At 38.8% G+C, this 17,030-nt stretch overlaps 1 long non-coding RNA gene across 1 annotated transcript in view; it reads right to left on the reverse strand.

Moving 5' to 3' along the window:
• Positions 1-7,769: 7,769 nt before the first annotated feature.
• LINC02388 (long intergenic non-protein coding RNA 2388) overlaps positions 7,770-17,030 on the reverse strand; it is a 215,758-nt gene continuing 206,497 nt past the window's right edge. The window contains exons 4-8 of the long non-coding RNA NR_120452.1: positions 13,139-13,243; positions 12,513-12,591; positions 11,086-11,179; positions 10,915-10,970; positions 7,770-8,399 (exon numbers count right to left, since the gene is read on the reverse strand). This is a non-coding gene — a long non-coding RNA (long intergenic non-protein coding RNA 2388). The remainder of the gene's footprint in view (positions 8,400-10,914; positions 10,971-11,085; positions 11,180-12,512; positions 12,592-13,138; positions 13,244-17,030) is intronic.

Genomic DNA, 17,030 nt, shown 5'->3' on the forward strand with positions numbered 1-17,030 from the left:
CTGGGACTACAGGCGCCCGCCACCACGCCTGGCTAATTTTTTTGTATTTTTAGTACAGACAGGTTTTCACTGTGGTCTCAATCTCCTGACCTCGTGATCTGCCTGCCTCGGCCTCCCAAAGTGCTGGGATTACAGGCGTGAGCCACCGCACCCAGCCTTAATTATACAGTTTTTAATACTGGAAATGGTGGGGTTGAAATGCAATTTTTTTTAAAAAAGCTCTAATTACTAAACTAATTTCTGAGTACCTATATGGTTTTTTTGATAGTTATTTTAATATTTTTGTAATAAGCACACTGGTATCTTGCCTAAGAGAGTTTTATTTAGAAAATACATTTAAAAATTTTTTCTCAAATATTTGGTAATCTTAAAGCAAAATATCCTGTCCTTTCCAGTCTGTCTTCATTCTGTCGGTACATATAGGCTTTAAAAAACTTGCTGGATCTGGCCGGGCGTGGTGGCTCACGCCTGTAATCCCAGCACTTTGGGAGGCCGAGGCGGGCAGATCACGAGGTCAGGACATCGAGACCAACCTGGCTAACACGGTGAAACCCCAGTCTCTACTAACAATATAAAAAATGAGCTGGGCGCCGTGGCGGGCACCTATAGTCCCAGCTACTCGGGAGGCTGAGGCGGGAGAATGGCGTGAACCTGGGAGGCGGAGCTTGCAGTGAGCCGAGATAGCACCACTGCACCCCGGCCTGGGCGAAAGAGCGAGACTCCATCTCAAAAAAAAACAAACAAACAAACAAACAAAAAAAACTTGTTGGATCTAATGGTATTCTACCATTTCAAGGCTCCTAGAGATTTTATACCTTGCATGTTAATTAGTTCAAGCATCAATATCAAAACTCTGTGTTGTCATTTCTCCCCTGTTGGCACTCTGGTTAGTCTCTTTAAGACAGACATTTTTCTGACAGTCTGTACCTGTCTAAACTGCTCATTGACACATTTCCTTGAAATGTGGGAAAATTGGCCAAGTCACAGTAGCACATTAGTTAAGACAAATATAGGTTTTATAACTGCTTCCTCCTCTCTAATACTCCCCAAGTTCAAAGACTTTCTTTTAATCTCAAAACCACCTACTGACCAGTCTCCTTGCTAATCTCTCTTATTCTTTATTCTCTGTACTCTCTAACATAAGAACTAGCTTTCCAAAGCACAAGTCGAAACCAAAATCTCTAAAGCCTCTGAGAGAAGTATTTTGATATTGCTGTATTTTCAAATGCATTTGATATTGTTTGCATGATACTTTCCTGGGAAAAGGCTAATTGGAACACCAGAAATGAGTAGAGGATGCTGCCTGAGCATTTTATAGCTCAGCATGTTCTAGTTCATTCTGTTCTCCTACTGAGGTAAAATCCCAGAAATTCAGGGGCATGTTCAATGCTTCACAAGCTTTCAAAAGAGAATTTATGCCAATTGTTCACGAGTGAGTTAGAGAAGATCTGCAATAGGAGGCCCCGTAAGAAACTGGGTCCAAGTGCTGTCCTAGATCATCTGAAGAGCCGAACCTCTTTTGAAAGATGGGACTAAGGTCAGGGAAGTTGATCTCTAGCTCCTAAACCATTTCTTCATCTCTAGTAGGGATGAAAGAGAAACCTATAAGGTTAGTGTCAGGTAGGCTGATGGTAAACAGCCTGCCTGTCCTTGAAGATTGAATAAAAGTGCCTCAGCCAAGTGGTTAAGGGCAAGAGGACTGAGTGGGCTACTGTCATTGAAGAGCTGAAGCATAACTTCATATTGAGTCTTAGGGTAAAACCTGAGGGAGTTGAGGCAATTCCTGTCAGATACTGAGATCTCCAGAAATGTGACCTTATTTGGAAATAGGGTTTTTGCAGATATAATTAATTAAGACGGGGTCATACTAGATTAGGGTGGGCCCTAAATCCAGTGACTGGTATATTTATAGAAGGCCACATGAACATACAGAGACAGAGACCCACAAGAAAGGAGACCATGTGACAACAGAGTGGGAGATTGGAGTGATGTATCTACAAGCCAAGTGACTGCCAGCACCAGAAGCTCAGAAGAGAACAGGAAGGACACTTCCCTTGAGCCTTCAGAGAGCGGATGGTCCTCATGACATTTTGATTTTGGGCTTCTGGTCTCTCAAACTGTGAAAGAATAAATTTCCGCCATTTATTTATTTTTTTTAAAGAAATCATGGTACAAAACACTGAACATTAGATTTATCTTCTTAACAAATTTTTAGGTGTATGGTTCAGTATTATTAACTATAAGCACAATGTTGTTCAGCAGACTTCTAGAATTTTTTCATCTTGTGTGATTGCATCGCTATACCCATTGAAGAGCAATTCAAATTTTCCCCTCTGCCTCAGTCCCCGGCAACTACCATTGCCACGTGATGGTAGAACTAACATTCTACCTACCATTTTAAAGCAGTAAAACTTCCATGAGTTTTACTACTTTAGATACCTCATATAAGTGGAATCATGCAGTATTTGTTTTTCTGTGATTGGCATATTTCACTCAGCATACTGTCCTCCAGCTTTACTCATGTTGTAGCATGTGGCAGCATTTCCTTTTATAAGGTTGAATAATATGCCATTGTAAGTATACCATATTTTCTTCACTCATTCATTCACTGATGGACATTTAGGTTGTTTCTCGCTATTGGCTATTGTGAATAATGCTGCAATGAACATGGGAGTGTAAATAGCTCTTCAAGATCCTGATTTCAATTCTTTTGGATAGATACCTAGAAGTGAGGTTTCTGGATAAGATAGTGATTCTGCTTTTAATTTTTTGAAGGGCCTATATAGTGTTTTCTAAAGTGGCCATACTGTTTTACGTCTTCACAAGGATTCAAATTTTTTTCACATCCTCACCAACTCTTGTTATTTTCTGTTTTTTGATAATGACATTCTAACTGGTGTGAGGTGATACTTCATTGTGGTTTTGAGTTTCATTTTCCTGATGATTAGTGATGTTGAATGTCTTTTTATTGATTATTGAGAAATATGTATTGAAGTCCTTTGCCCATTTGTAACTGGGTTATTTATTTGTTTTTCGCTATTGGGTTGTAGGAGTTCCTTATGTACTTTAGGTATTAAACCCCTTATCAGATATATATGGTTTGTAAATATTTTCTCATGTTCCATGGGTTGCCAGTCTCTGTTGTTTTAAGCCCTCCAGTTTGTGGTAATTTGAAGTATAGAACATAATCCCAATTATGCTTAAGGCTCTCTCTATGTTCTATAGAAAAGACGCACGCAGAAATGGATCAAAATGTTAATAATACTTATCTCTGAGTATGGGAATAAAGGTTATTTTTGTTTTCTCCTTTATAATCTTTTATATCTTTCAAGTCATCTCAAATGAGAATTCATTGTTTTAAAACATAAATAAAATTAAAGGTAAAACTTGAGCAACAACATTAAAAGATATCCTGAAAGTCTGTAATTAAGTGAATAATTATTGAGTATCTACTATGTTCTTGGTACTGTTTTAAGCACTGGGAGTATGAAAGAGTTCTTACATTTCAGTTGTTTACTGTTATGTCTGAGAAAATAGACAATATGCAGATAAATAAATAAATAAAATAACTTCCTAGACATGTGAGAGCTAAGTAAACAGAAGATAAAATGAGACAATGTAAATAGAGAGCACCTGGGATGGTCAAGGAAGCCCTCTGTGAGACAGTGATGATTTTATTGAGACCTCAGTGGTGAGAGGGAGGCAGCAATAAGAAGTTTTGGAGAAACTTTGAAGCTAAAGGAACAGCAAGCACAAAGGCCCTGGGGTGGGAAGGATCCTGGTATATGGCTGGAATGGAGTGATGGGCAGGGCAGATCACGTGGGGACACAAGCCACCCAGAGGTCCCTATGATTGAACCAGACCAGGACCCACAGTCCTAGAGAGGAGTGTGAGCTGTAGTGTTGTTGCAGGGGGAAGTCCATTGGAGGTATTGATGTTTGCATCAGAAATCTCACTCTGGCTATTGTGTGGTGGATGCACCTTGTGTGTTTCTCTGTGTGACGATGTTCAAAGAATAAAGGTCAGTCTAGGCAGTTTAAACAGAAAAGGAATGTAGTGAGGAATCTTAGGACACTTAAAGAAATTTTGAGAGTGAAATAGGAAAACTTCCCTCATCTCCCTTGCAGGGTATGCGGCAGGGTTCGCTTCTTCAATGTCCTTCTGCTCAAACCCCTAGGGGACATGCAGATGGGCAGGTTGTAGGGAGCTTTTTGGGCTCCGACCCCACGGCAGCGTCTAGGGGTGAGTGTTTAGAGCTCCCGAAGCCCCAGTGGCCATGTTACAATGTGCTCTTTCAGTTTTGCCATCTGCAGGTAGCTTGTGTTAATCAGTTCAGTTAGACCCTATGCCTTATCACAAGGACAGAAGGCTTTCTGTATCACGGGTTCTTCCCTAGTGGACCGGAAAAAATGAATCCCACGTAGGCTTGGAGGATGGGTGCAAGGTTTTTTATTGACTGGTGGTAGCTATCAGTGAGGTAGATGGAGAGGTCAGAAGGGTCATAGAGGGGGAAGGTGGTCTTCCATGGAGTTGGGCGGCCCAGCGGCAGCCGGACTCTTCTCCAACCGCCCCCCTCCACCGCCGAATTCCACATCTTTCTGCTGTCAATGGCCTGCTGATGTCTGCTCCTCTTCTGCTCTCGATGTCCAGTTGCTTGTGTGTGTGCCCACTAGGGTCTCAGGTTTTTTTTTTTCATAGGCACAGGATGGGGACACGGGGAGGGCCAGAGTGGTCTTGGAAAATGCAACATTTGGGTGGGAAAACAGGAGTGCCTGTCCTCACTTAGGTCCATGGGCACAGGCCGAAGGGTGGAACCCTCATCAGGGACCCTGCCCTTGTCTACCCAGCATTTCCCTGCCCTCCTCTCATATCAAGAGGACTAGAGAATTAGACTTGGAGATTGCACAGACAGACCACTGTCCAGTGACATTGCTGGTTACTCCAGGGGTTCCCTACTAGACCTCAGTGAACACGGGCCCCACAGCCTGCACCTGAATGCTGGGCCCAGAACTTAGGAAGATATATGTAACTCTGCACTTTACAATTAATACAGCATGTAGATCCTGATCTGAGTGAAAGAATTGTTAGAAGATTTCTTGTGTTAGCTGAGAAACCTAGGAGTAACCTTGCTGATTTTTTTCTTATTGGTAAAAGATGGCTTCAATGAGTTCTTTCCAGTTTCCTTCTATTATTTTCCCAAATCATTGTAGATTTTTGTATTTATAATCAACATTAATTTTTAAATATTTGTCATTTTTTAGACTGCCTGTCTTCTATCTGAATGACATTTAAGTAAACAAGGTGTATATTTTTTCTTTAAATTTTTTCTTCTTAGCAGAAATTGTTAGACAAAACTTAACTTTGATTTTAAGAAGCTTCTACAAATAATCTGATTTAGCTATTAATAACCAGGTTAATAAGTCTGTCATTCCAGAGTGGGGCAAGTGCTACATTTTCCAAAATACATAGCTAAGATATCAACTAATACAACTGTATATCCAGAGTAGGAAGGCAGAGGTTTTGTTTATCCTATGCAGAAATGTTCTGACCTGTTTTTTTCTCTCTCTTTCTCTTTCTCTGACTCTCTCTCTCTCTTTCTCTCTCTCTCACACACACACACATCACTCAGAATTCCATGCTTAGTGAAGTAGAAAAGACTGTAGGGTTTAGAAGCTGGTTCCAGTGCTCACTCTATCACCCACACCTCTAGACTGATTTTGAGTAGATGACTGCACCTTTCTAAACTTGTGCTCTGTTACCTATTGCTCTCAACTTCAACTGATGAGTAAAAGGTAAGATATATCATGAATTTAGAGGTGCTTTTAAGCTGTCGTGTCTCTCCCTGTTAAACTTTGAGTTCTTGGTACTCTTATTTTCCTCAACATCTCCAGTGTCTACCCACAAGCGTAGGAGTCATGCCAGGTACCTATAGTGCTATTGCTCTTCTGCACATAATCACCATTCCTGTGAGTCCTGAAACTGCTGGAGACATCTTAATGTGCCCTGAATTCTCTCATCATTTTAAGGTGTCCATGTTCCATTTGTTGAGTGGGCTGTGCTGATCATGAAACTTTTTTCATGTTTGAGATGATAACAGGTAACTTATTGTCCACTCTGCCATTCCTATCATTCCACACTGATGGGCTGGTGAGGGATCATTTATTTGCAGGGCTCAATTAGAAGCAGTCTAGCAGGCCAGGAAAAAGCATTTACTCTTGGGAGAGATTCTCAGGGACAACTGGTGGGAGAGTGAAAAGAACAAAGTTGGAAGCAGTAGTTAGTTTTTACTATTCACTCTGAAGTTGCCCAAATTAGCTGGGTGGGTGAATATTTAATGTCACCACATCACATATGTAATTTGTACTGTCTGCTTTTAATCTTCACACCAGTTTTATAATTTTAATAAAATTTTAATTAAAAATAAATGAACCGAACACTTCAACAGAACATTTTAAATGCAGACTATCAGGCTGGAAGCCCATGCTCAGCTGGAGATACAAACAAAACTAAGATATTCTAAAAATACATAGCTGAGATATTTCTCCCTTTCTGCTCAGAAAGCATGGTTTTTCAGAGACCAAGATATCCTAAAAATACTACAAGCAGGTCCCAACTCCCAAGCAGACAATCCAGACCCCCCTTTGTGATTCGGTGCCTTGAGCATACAGACTAGGATACTCCCATCTCTCTTGGGTCATTACTCTCCCAGTGTTTACCTCCTTACAGTAATTTCTTTCTGTCCTAGCAGCCCTCTGAGGGAGCTGACTCAGACTTGTACTTTTCCTGGATATCTACTAAATGCCCAAATCATATGCCCCTATTTGGCCAAACTCATAATAATATATAAATAAGTAATGCTACATTTACATTTTAAAATGCTGGGTTTTTAAAAATGTGTAATGGAATTTCAAACAGTATTATAAAGTACATAATTTAAATAGTGTGGGCAGAAATATTTCTGGACTCATGGCCAAATTTTTTAGATTTTCTAGGGGGCAGTTTTGATTTTGAAAAGGTCATGACATTGTCCATAGAATATTTTAGTATTTGTTTGAAATACAAAACCATTCAGCCACAATATATGCCATAGTCTTTAACAACTGCATTTTAAAATCACACTATTATAAGTTATAATTTTTATAGTTTTGGTCTATAGTTTTAGAGAAAGCAACACTTATAACTTCAGAATCTCATTGACTGTGGGGTTGGGATTTATGTATGTATGTATGTATGTATGTATTTACTTATTTATTATACTTTAAGTTCTGGGATACACGTGCAGAACATGCAGGTTTGTTACATAGGTATAGACGTGTCACGGTGGTTTGCTGCACCCATCAACCCGTCATCTACACTAGGTATTTCTCCTAATGCTATCTCTTCCCTAGCCCCCACTACTCAACAGGCCCTGGTGTGTGATGTACCCCTCCCTGTGTCCATGTATTCTCATTGTTCCCCTCCCACTTTTGAGTGAGAACATGTGGTGTTTGGTTTTCTGTTCCTGTGTTAGTTTGCTGAGGATGATGGTTTCCAGCTTCATCCATGTCCCTGCAAAAAACATGAACTCATCCTTTTTATGGCTGTATAGTATTCCATGGTGTATATGTGCCACATTTTCTTTATCCAGTCTATCATTGTTGGGCATTTGGGTTGGTTTCAAGTCTTTGCAATTGTGAATAGTGCTTTATTAATAGTCTGCTTATCCATTATATCTCTGGATTCTGACTCTATTAAAATTGTTGAGCACTAAGAAACAAAGACCACCAAATCAATGTCCAAAACAATGCCAAATTTATTGCTGGCCTGGCAAGGAAAAGTTCTGACAGTCAGCTACAAGGTCAGTGGGTCTCTCCAAGCAGAAGTTAAAAGGGTATAAAAGGAGGGATCACATCAAATATATCAGACAGAAATTTGAGTTCAGGGCTATGATTGCACCACATGGTAGAGATGCCACTTCTTGATGACTGGTGACTTTCAGATTACCAGGGCTAATCCTGAGAGACTTGATTCCCAACACGTTCAGGATGAGTTATGCGAGATTCCAGTGGGTCTAGCGTCATCAGGTGTGCTCACATGCTTTTATTTGAAGCTTAGCATGGTTGCTTTCTCCTTTTTCTTAATGAAATAGATAATGCATTTTGGGAAGAGATAATGCATTTTGGGAGGATGAGGCGGTGGATTACCTGAGGTCAGGAGTTCGAGACCAGCCTGGCCAACATGGAGAAACCCCGTCTCTGCTAAAAATACAAAAAATTAGCTGGGTACAGTGCACGTGCTTGTAGTTCTAGCTACTCGGGAGGCTGAGGCAGGAGAATGGCTTGAACCTGGGAGGGGGAGGTTGCAGTGAGCCAAGATTGCACTATTGTACTCTAGCCTGGGCAATAGAGTGAGACGCCATCTAAAAAGAAAAAAAGAAAAGAAAAGAAGAAGAAGTCATTATGATAGTGGACACTAAAAACTGGAGTTTTTAGGCATTGGGTTAGACAGTATTAGAGTGGTATTCTCTTTCACTTACTCATTTATTTACTCATTCATTCCTTTTTTGCAAGTATTCGTGGAGTCACTGCTATGTGAATAACACTGCTGTATGCTAGGGATAACAAATATAACCCAGATGTCACATAAGATCAGATTTCCTATCGCGCAACCTCTGAAAAACTAATGTCTTCTCTGGGGTTTACAGCTGCTGACTCAGAACTGAAACCTGTACCTTAACTGTCTTTAATTGCATGGATTTACTGTTATACTCAAAACTCTGCATTAACCTGACTTCATTTTTCCAGGGAATTCTTTCTCAGGAGGATGTTTGTCTCATGAACTTTCTGAAGTCTATTTATTCCAACCGTAGACTAGCCAAGTAGCCTACATCAAGGCACATATCTTCCTTCTCAGAACAATAAATTATTCAACTGGGTTTCTCAAGGGACTGTTTTTCAAGGCTTCCTTCAAATCCCCCCCCCTTTTTTTTTCACTGTGTTTGCTAATTCTAAACTCTTATGTAACAAACTCTGCCCAATTCTAATCAGGCCCCTACATTGAAAGACCCACCTTAAACCATACTCTTATAAGTATTTTTCTTTTGTACTCTATCATTCAAGTTGCTACTATGGTTCTGTCAAGTTAGTTATCTCCCTTATTACAAAGGTAATACACTTGATTTGCTTAATCTGTGTCTTTTGGTGGAATTTTTGGGGAGTCAGCAATCTACAGAGATTACATTCTCAAAGTCGCTCTGGCTTCAGTCCCTTGATCTTACTGAGTTTTTGTGTATTGTCATCTACTCCCTTCTCTTGTCTCTGTTCTGTGTTGACCAAGACATAAAACTAACTCCCTTTCTTGTTTTTTAAACTCCCTAATCCCCAGCAACAACCACAACAAAGTCCAGTCTCACAAAGCATTTGCATGTCAAACAAACTTTAAAAATTTAGTAACATAAGGATTCATATAGATTAGCAATAACAACTTACATTTGAATATTAGATATCCTTGTTCTTGTGAGTCCTTCAACCTCCCCACTCTCTAGACCGGTATTACTCAGAGTGTGGCATTATCAGTATATCACAAAGTTAGTACAGAAATTGAGAATAAGCATTTACAAGCATTTGATCAGTGATGATTGGAAATTAAACAACAACTTCCCCCCAAACAAACAACAAAAACCTGGTTCTTCACCACAGATAATTTAAGAGCCATTCACCAAACTCTCAGGTTTTCAATTTGGTGTGAACCCCATCCTTTAGCACCCCAATGAAATGCAATCTTCTTCACTGTACTATGCAAAGCAACTAAGATTTTCTACTCCTCTTCTCTGAGTACACCTCTCAATATGTGGAAATACACACTTAAGGCATTCTGCTAAACAATGGCGTGTGGGAACTCTAGTTCCCACCATGTTGCAGAACAAAAGAATTGGAAGAGGTCTTGCAATTTCAGTCTTTTTTTATCTCTCTCTTATTAAAGTCTCTGGGAGGGTAAAAGAGCACATCAAATGTCATTTTTGCCTAATAGAATAATGGCATTTTTCCTAATGGGTAAGAAGATGGTACAATCAGCTTTGTCCTTAAATAATATTTTTTGTCCTATTACTTCATAATGAGTTAGATACTGTCCCTGACCTGAAAGAACTCCTTATCATTTGAGAAGAAGTCACCATGTAAATACGTCATGGCAACACTGCAGGGTAAGTGCAGAGAGGGAGGGAGTTCCCAATAGTCAGAGGAACCCTGAAGGTAGAGGGCAAAGTGTGCCCAGGGATTCAGGGGATCTGTTGCTTTCTACCACTGAATCAATTTTGAATGAATGAAATATAGTGGATAAAATTTAGAACGTAGATAAGTCATGGCATTTATAGTAAGAATCATGCTATTTCCCTTCTAGATAGTTGTAATTTACCCTTCAGTGGTGTCAACACACAGTAGAGTTAATACTGAGAATGAAGTGGTAGCAGGAGGTTTGTGGTTACATAAACTAAACAGCATTTAATTGAATTTCTAACAGATGGAGAACAATGAAATCATTCATAATCTTTTCACAGTGAGTTAACTCAGAGGTAAACCAGAAATGATCAAATAGTTTTATCCAGTCTTCTGCTGCAGATTTAATATTTTCATCTGCATCAACTCTGTTATTTCCCGGCTCAATTTAATGACTAACATGGCATAAAAGTAACAATTTCTTGATTATTAAAATTCTATTTGTGGCAGATTACAAATAAAATCTATTTTAAAGTCATTACTAAATAAATATCCTGTAATAATAAACTAACATTGAACAACCATCTTATAAAATCTTGATGATAAGCGTATTAGAGAATTTTAATTCAAAGCATTATCACAAAAATAAACAGACACAGCTACCAATTTTTTCTCATTAAAACAACTTTTCAATGTTAAATAATACATCAAATAACTCACTTTTTCTATGACAGTGTGTGGCATTTCCTCCTAAATCCCACAAGCAAAGTGGGCACCTGTGAAAAGAGCAACAAAGAGACCTAACCATGGTTGTCCTGAAATGGTTTAGCCAGGGTGTCAGTTAAAATCATCAACATCTTCCCAATGTCCAATGGCAGGGAAGACCCTTACCTCCGTTTCTGAACAGTAGCACTCATTTCTGAGGGTAAATGTGAAACATTTAACCATGAGTCGGTATCTTCAAACTATTTCCAGAAAACTGGCCCTTAGAAGCAACATATAGGGAGTGATATTCCAATGACACCAATATTCACAATTACACATTTAAATATTTATTTGTAAAATTATTGATTTTATTGTAGAAAGAGCAAGAACCCAGAGAAGCAAAAACAAAACAAAACAAAAACAAAAACAAAAACACTCCAAATCAATTATGTCACCATTCAGAGATGGCCACAGTCAATATTTTGGTATGCAGCCTTTCTAACCTATTTATAATCTCTGTGTTTATGACATACTATATATGTAAATGACAAGAAAAGAATGTGGATATTTAGACATACTGTCCTGTAATGTGTCTTTTTTCCAGGTGGCAAAATATTATTAACTTATTTTGAGGGGACTGAAAATGCTGTATTATTACTGGTGGAGTTGGATTGAAAAACATACCTTGATCCTATAGTCAAAAAGTCTTCCTGCTAATTTTTTTTTCCCAGAAGTAAATTGTCCCAAGGGTTTAGACCACATCTCACATAAAGAAGAAAAAAAGCTTATCATGAGCTTGTTATTTAATCAACATGTCTCAGCATCACGATTTTACATGCTTATAATGATATCATTTTAGGATTATTTTAGCGAAAACCTTTTGATATCAAGAAACAGACTTGGCCAGGCACCTGTAATCCCAGCACTTTGGGATGCCAAGGCAGGCGGATCACGTGAGGTCAGGAGTTCGAGACCAGCCTGGCTAACATGGTGAAACCCCCATCTCTACTAAAAATTCAAAAATTAGCTGGGCCTGGTGGCAGGCACCTGTAATCCCGGCTACTCAGGAGGCTGAGGCAGAAGAATTGTTTGAACCCAGAAGGCAGAGGTTGCAGTGAGCTAAGATCATGCTGTTGCACTCCAGCCTGGGCTATAAGAGTGAGACTCTGTCTCAAAAAAATGAAAAGAAAAGAAAAAAAAAAAAAAGAGAAGAAACAGACACATTTGAGGTTTCTCAGTGAAAAGGTGTTGTGTTGTAATAACATATGGGGCTGGAACTGGAACTAGAAAGCTACTGGAGTCTGAGGCAGCCCTAGGTGAGGAGAGCTGCTTCTCTTTGCACATCTGTCTCATTCCCTTGTTTCTACTAAGAGTCTTCCTCTTGTTCTTCATAATTCCTGATTCTCGCATATGGTATGTGATGGCTTTCCCTGTCTCTATTAATACATTATGGTAATCCTTAATATATCCTTTTGGCTCCTGTCTCTGTAACCAACAGCTCTCATCTCTTGGTTTCTCAATCCCTCATTCCCAATAAAGCAATCCTGTTGTTCCTGCTCATTATTCTACATCTGACCAGTCAGCCCTCTTTCTAGACTCTATGGATTACTCACTTTTAGGGTAGCTCAATTCTTGGTCCATTCAATTCTGACAGGATGAGGTCAGGGTTATCTGGTAGAAAAGTTGGCCTTGCTTTCAGGAAGGATTATAGGTAGACAGAAGGGAGCATGGTCAAGGCATGCAATAATCAACACTTGTACAAATATCTTTGAAGTTGTCTGATAAATTCCCAGAAATAAAATTTCTGATTCAAAAAGTATACACATTTGAAAAGTTTTGATGTATATTGCAAAGTTCATCTCTAGCAATGTGGTATTACTTTACATCCTTACCAGCAGAATCAGCGTCACCTTTCCCTGCTCCTGCATCAACACTGCATATTTTACTGTCACCATTTCTATCCCACAATTGTTCTTTTTGATCAATCAAGAGATAAATTTATAGGTAGATAGTTACAAGGCACAGCCTAAATTTTATTTTACTAGTGTAGGACACTCCCTTTAAAATGGAAAAGAGGCTGGGAGCAGTGGCTCACGCCTGTAATCCCAGCACTTTGGGAGGCCGAGGCCGGCAGATCAGGAGGTCAGGAGTTCAAGACCAGCCTGGCCAATATGGTGAAACCCCGTCTCTACTAAAAATACAAAAAAAAAAAAAATTAGCTGGGCGGGATGGTACTCACCTGTAGTTCCAGCTATTTGGGAGGCTGAGGCAGAAGGCAGAAGAATCATTTGAACTGGGGAGGCAGAGTTTGCAGTGAGCCGAGATCATGCCACCGCACTCCAGCCTGGGTAATAGAGTGAGAGTCTGACTCAAAAAAAAAAAAAAAAAAAAGAAAGGAAAATAAACTTTTTTGGGTTCACTAAGGAATGCATTTCCCTCTCTACTAGTGAAACAGAGACTCATTTATATGTTGATGGACCATTTTATTTTTTTTCTTCTGTGATATATTTGTTCATATCTTTTTCCTAATGACTTGTTATAATGGTATTTTTCCAATTGATTCATAATTCTGCCTGGTTTGTGTTTTGGAAAGCAGATTGATAACTGCTTTAAAAGTTAGGTTGAAAATGCACATACCTTCAAGAGCAATTCTACTCTGAGGTGTATACCTCAGAGTGTGTAACTGGAGGTATGCATGTTAATGTTCAAAAGCAGCATTTTTTTAAACAGCAACAAAATAGGAATGATCCAAATGTCTATCAGGAAAAGAATGGACTTTAAAAGAGAATGACATTATTCAACGGAGTACTAGACAGCAGTGAAAATAAATGAATTGCAACTATGTCTTAGCTATGTAGTTGTGCAACAAACTACACCAAAACTTAGTGACTTAAAGCAACCCGTTATTTTTCTAGTATTCTTTGGGTGGGCTGGGCTGTTCATCTGCTATTATGTCTGGGCTCACTCATGAGGCTACATGTGGCTGTCAGGTCAGTGGGGACTGAATTCAGCTGCCATAGCTGGTATGGCTGGACCTCTCTTCCCACATGCTTAGGTTTCTTCACAGCATAGTGGCCTTAGGGTGATGTTAAGAGGATGAAAGCATAAAATACAAGCCCTGAAAGTTGTACCATGTCACTTCTGCTGCATTCTATTAGCCAAACAAGTCATGAGACCACCCCAGCTTCAGGGGATGGGGAAAGGGGCTTCATCTTTGGATGGGAGGCAATAACAACCTGACATAGCAAATCGGAATGGCCCAAAGGAGCCATGATTCATTGGGGGCCATCATTTTAACAATGCATTATAATAATCTGAGTACTCTATAATCATACTGATCTTACTCTCATCTCTGTTCATATTTTTGTTAATCACCAGATATAGCTGTCCCAAAATTTGAGGGATTTTTAATATGAAATCTCTATCTGAGTTTTAGGAGGGTGCTTTCCAATAATTTCCTAGATCCTGGTGCTCTGAGAAAATTAGTATAATCTGTACTTTGTATCTGCCTGACTTGTTTTCTAAGATCTCAATATTCTCTGTGGTGGTTAATTTTATGTGTCAGTTTGACTTGGCTATGGTACTCAGATATTTGGTCAAACACTTCTGAATGTTGCTGTGGAGATATAAAATGAGATTAACATTTATATTAGTAGACTATGCGTAAAGCAGATTACTTTCTATAATGTGGGTAAGCCTCATTCAATCAGTTAAGGCCTTAAGAAAAAAAAAAACAAAAAACCTCACCTCACCAAAAGACATAATTCTTCCAGAAAACTATCTTTGAACTCAAACCACAGCTTAATGCTTCCCTGGGTCTTCAGATTACGGGTGTACCCTGCAGATTTTAGACTTGGTAGCTTCCATAATCAATTGTGCCAATTTCTTCTCTCTCTCTCTCTCTCTGTGCATACACACACACACACACACACACACACACACACACACAGACATACACCCTATTCCTATTGGTTCTGTTTCTCTGAAGAACCCTGGCTAATACATTCCCCTTAGAGAAACTACTTTCTTCCTCTAGTTTAATCTACTTGTTTTCTTTATTCTGTTTTCATTCCTTCCTTGTTCCTGTTCTGATAGTATGAGTAATGCACGTTTTCCAACACTTCCAATTCCCTCTTGTGTCTCTGAGCAAATTTGATTTTTACAGTTTCTAGGCACATGCCCATTTAATTTCCTTTTTAGCCTTTGGGCCTATAATAATTATATGAGGTTTTTTCTTTCTTTATAGCAACCACAAAAGACAGCCTATTCTTTTTATAATAAGAGATCTCATTCTTTTTATTTGTTTATTAATAAATTGACCATTTTATGTGGGGGAAGCCACAGTTTGAATCTTGAATTAGAAATATATCATCAGAGATTGTGTAATTATCAAATCCAGAGCCACTCTGAGACCAGGCAGGGGTAATGTGAACAACGAATCAATTTTAATCCACCTATCCAGATGTGGCACCAGCAATTTTAGGGTAGAAATTCACTAAAGCTTTTTGGCATATGTGACTCTTGAGTGTCTTTGCAGTTTGAAGTCACAGCTGAGAAATATAGTAAACCAACAAAAAATGTCACTGAACCTTAATCTATATCATGAAGAGCCTTCACTGCATCATTTACAACCCTGTTCCCGCTTTCTCTTGTTTTGTTCTCCTAAAGGTTAAAAATCTAAAACTCACTTTTAAAAATTCCCTTTTGTCTGAGGACAGCAATGGGACAAAATTCTGGCAAATAAAATGAATGCAAAAATTAGCTAAAAAATGCTTATTTTCCTGAATTATCTGATAAGATCTCATGAGGAGGTCTGCCTGGAAAGTGGATGCAATCCTAGAGATGAAGCAACTAATAGTATGATCATGAGGGAAAAGAGCAAATTCTGAGGTTGCTGTGGCAGAAGATTGAATGAACTTGAATCTTTAATTATACTGTTGAGCCTAGGACTTCCTACCATCATATTTTTTTGTTATTTTGCAAAAACAAGAATTTCCCAGTTAAGACACTTTGGTTTGGGTTTTCTGTGGCATACAGTCTAATAAAATTTTAGCTGATATAAAAGGTGCTTCAGAATCTAGTAAAACAGACAAAGGAACAAAACAACAATCTAAACCAAACCTTTCAGTGGTATTCTTAACATTTAAATTTTTGAATCCCTTTTGATTATTCATTCACAAGGTTTCATGTCTATTATCTCTTTTGATTTTTGTAATAGTCCTGGGAAGAAAAATAGATTTTATTATCTTTAGTATACAGATGAGGAATATGAGGTCAGGAAAATAATGTTTTATAATTTTTTTTTATCCTGGAGGAGACCAGAACCCTGTCCTCTCCACGATGTGTTTCACTACTGCCCCTAGCACATGGTAGATGTTCAATACATAAATGAGTAAATGGTGCATGTAAAACATTTGTTCAGAACTTTGCATACATTTTGTTAAATAAATGGAAGCTAATAACAATAATAACAACATGTTAGCTTCTTGCCTTAGCACCTATAGAATCCTGTGAATTCAGATTTTCTTTGGTATATACCTAAAGTTAGCCTCTGATACAGAAATGGTAATACAAAGACATCCTGGCCTGGGCCAATGGCTCATGTCTGTAATCCCAGTGCTTTTGGAGGCCGAGAAGGGAGAATCACTTGAGGCCAGGAGTTTGAGATCAGCCTGGGCAACATAGCAAGACCCCATCTTTATTAAAAATAATGGCCTTAGCTACTCTGGAGACTGAGGCAGGAGGATCCCTTGAGCCCCAGGAGTTGTAGGTTGCAGTGAGCCATGATCACACCGCTGCACTCCAGTAGCCTGGGTGACAGAGCAAGACCCTGTTTCTTACAAAAAATAATTAAATAAATAAAAGACATCCTTTGCTGAGTAGTAAGAGACATGAATTTATTCATTATTCTAAAAGAGAGTAGCAAACAAATGCACAAAACTGGGATAAAAAATGTTAAAGGTAGTTTTCTTTAAGGTCATTAATGAAAAGTGTTTATTTCATTAATTTAATAACCCTCTTATGTGTTTCAGAAATGATTGTTAGAATGTAGAATGGAACTGACTATAGCTGACTTGGCTCAGCTGATGGGAGTTCTGTGTTAAATGACAAAGATTCTGGATGTGATTTTT

Source organism: Homo sapiens, chromosome 12 (genome assembly GCF_000001405.40).
Source record: "Homo sapiens chromosome 12, GRCh38.p14 Primary Assembly".
Lineage (NCBI taxonomy): Eukaryota > Metazoa > Chordata > Mammalia > Primates > Hominidae > Homo > Homo sapiens.